The following is a 2,423-nucleotide window of genomic DNA, read 5'->3' as shown; positions in this document are numbered from 1 at the left end:
AAGGACGGTCCCGTTCGCCACGAACGTCCGCCCCTCGCCCGTCGCGGCTCGGACCCGGCCCGGGAGAGCACGACGTCACCACATCGATCACGAAGAGCCCCCCGGGAGCGGAGGCCGGCCGGCCGGCCAGCGAGCCGATCGGCTCCGGCCAACCCCCCACTCCGGGGAAGGGGCGGCGGACAACCCCGCGGAGACGAGAACGCCTGACACGCACGGCACGGAGCCAGCGGGGTGGGGTTGTCGCGGCCGCCCCGGGCGCCCGCAGCGGAGAGCGCACGGGGGCACGGTGGCCCTCGCCGCCTTCCCCGCCGCCCCCGGGTGGGTCAGAGACCCGGACCCGGGCCGGCACCGGGAGTCGGGACGCTCGGACGCGCGAGAGAACAGCAGGCCCGCGGGCCCCGGCAGGCGGCTCAAGCAGGAGCGCGGCCGGCTAGCCGGGTCACCGGTAGGCCAGAGCCCCGCGCGCATCCGGAGGCCCAACCTCTCCAGCGACAGGTCGCCAGAGGACAGCGTGTCAGCAATAACCCGGCGGCCCAAAATGCCGACTCGGAGCGAAAGATATACCTCCCCCGGGGCCGGGAGGTCGCGTCACCGACCACGCCGCCGGCCCAGGCGACGCGCGACACGGACACCTGTCCCCAAAAACGCCACCATCGCAGCCACACACGGAGCGCCCGGGGCCCTCTGGTCAACCCCAGGACACACGCGGGAGCAGCGCCGGGCCGGGGACGCCCTCCCGGCCGCCCGTGCCACACGCAGGGGGCCGGCCCGTGTCTCCAGAGCGGGAGCCGGAAGCATTTTCGGCCGGCCCCTCCTACGACCGGGACACACGAGGGACCGAAGGCCGGCCAGGCGCGACCTCTCGGGCCGCACGCGCGCTCAGGGAGCGCTCTCCGACTCCGCACGGGGACTCGCCAGAAAGGATCGCGGCAGAGGGACCGCGGCCCGGCCCGGGGACCGCTCCCCGGCACCCGGGGGACGGGGGCGGGACGGTCCCCGGCTCCCCACGGGGACTCGGAAACGAATTCGGCCGCCGCCTCAGACGGCCAGGATGAGCGCGGACCCGCGACCGGGCCGGGAAGGGCGTCCCCAGCCTCCCGCGCCACGCGCGGCGGGTCCCCGCGGGTCGCGGCTCGGGCCTCGGGAGCTACGGCGCGCTGGTCGACCGGCCCGGGCAGCCCCACGCCCGCCGCGGGCCCAGAAGCGCAGCGACAGCCTCTCCCCCACATAAACCTGCACGCCAGAGCTGTGACTCACAAGCGACGCGCCACAGCTCTGGCGCCACCGGGCCAGCCGGGCTGACGACCGGGGCTTTCCGGAGCTCTGCCTAGCTCACAGCGGGGACGGTCCCCTCCCTCGGCAGCTGCCACCGCAGCTCCGGAAGCCGAGAGCACGATCTCAAAGCGGCCGCCAGATGGAGCCCGACAACCGCCGCGGACGTCAGCGAGACAGATCCGGCTGGCAGGGCGGCCCGTGGACCGCGAAAGCGAAACCGTGAGTCGAGAAGCTCTTCCCGAGGCCGAAAACGCAGCCCCTCTGCCCCAACCCCACACAAACGGTGCCCAAAACGCGTCTCTGCCTCGACCGCGACAGAGTCAGAAGACAACCCACGGCGCGTGGGTGTTTGGAGATGCCTCTCGGAAGCAGGGAGGGAGGGAGGGAGGGAGGGAGGGAGGGAGAAAGAACACACAAGGACTCGGTCGCGGGTCGCTGCAGACACACGGAGAGGCAGAATGCGTAGGCTCTTCCGGAATCCACGCAGAGACAGACGGGGGGAGGGGAGTGGGGAAAAGAGACAGATGGCGAAAGGGAAGGAGGGAGGGAAGGGAGCAGGGAGGGAGGGAGGGAGGGAGGGAGGAAGACAATGGAGAAAAGAGAGACAATTTAGAAAACGTAGATACACAAAGTAAACTTCTGAAACACTCCATTTTTTAAAAGACAGACGGGAAGGAAAGAAACACGAAAAAGAGAGAAAGAATGAGGAAAGAAACGAAGGAAAGAAGGGAAAAAGAAACAGAGAGGAAAGAAAAAAGAAGGAAACACAGGGAACGAAAGAGAAATAAAGCACGAAGGAAAAAAGGACAGAAAGAGAGAAAGAAGGAAAGGAAGAGAGGAAGAAAAACCTAAAGAAGGAGAGAAAGGAAGAAAGGAAGGAAGAAAAACACGAAGGAGAGGAAGAAAGAAAACAGAGATAACTACGTACGCTCGTTCATTTACACACATAAATACGACGCTTTTCATACGTAAAATAAACGTCTTTATCGACGATCCCTTCTTTATAGAGCGATGTGTATTTATTTGTATAACACAGACACCTACATCTATCATACAGAAGTCTATTTCCATACAACCGATACGTATTTACCATACGCAAGAGTATTCAATGCAGAGATACACGTTGTCGTTGTTTGCATATAAGCGTA

The 2,423-nt window shown here is 64.4% G+C and overlaps 1 non-coding gene across 1 annotated transcript; it reads right to left on the bottom strand.

Annotated features, from left to right (window-relative positions):
• Window positions 1-1,119: 1,119 nt before the first annotated feature.
• On the bottom strand, window positions 1,120-1,211 carry MIR6724-2 (microRNA 6724-2). Its single transcript, NR_128715.1, has one exon. It is a non-coding gene; the product is annotated as a microRNA 6724-2 (primary transcript).
• Between the last annotated feature and the right edge of the window lie 1,212 nt (window positions 1,212-2,423).

This window comes from Homo sapiens, chromosome 21 (assembly GCF_000001405.40).
Source record: "Homo sapiens chromosome 21, GRCh38.p14 Primary Assembly".
Taxonomy (NCBI): Eukaryota; Metazoa; Chordata; class Mammalia; order Primates; family Hominidae; genus Homo; species Homo sapiens.
This window is presented reverse-complemented; position numbering and strand designations above follow the sequence as displayed.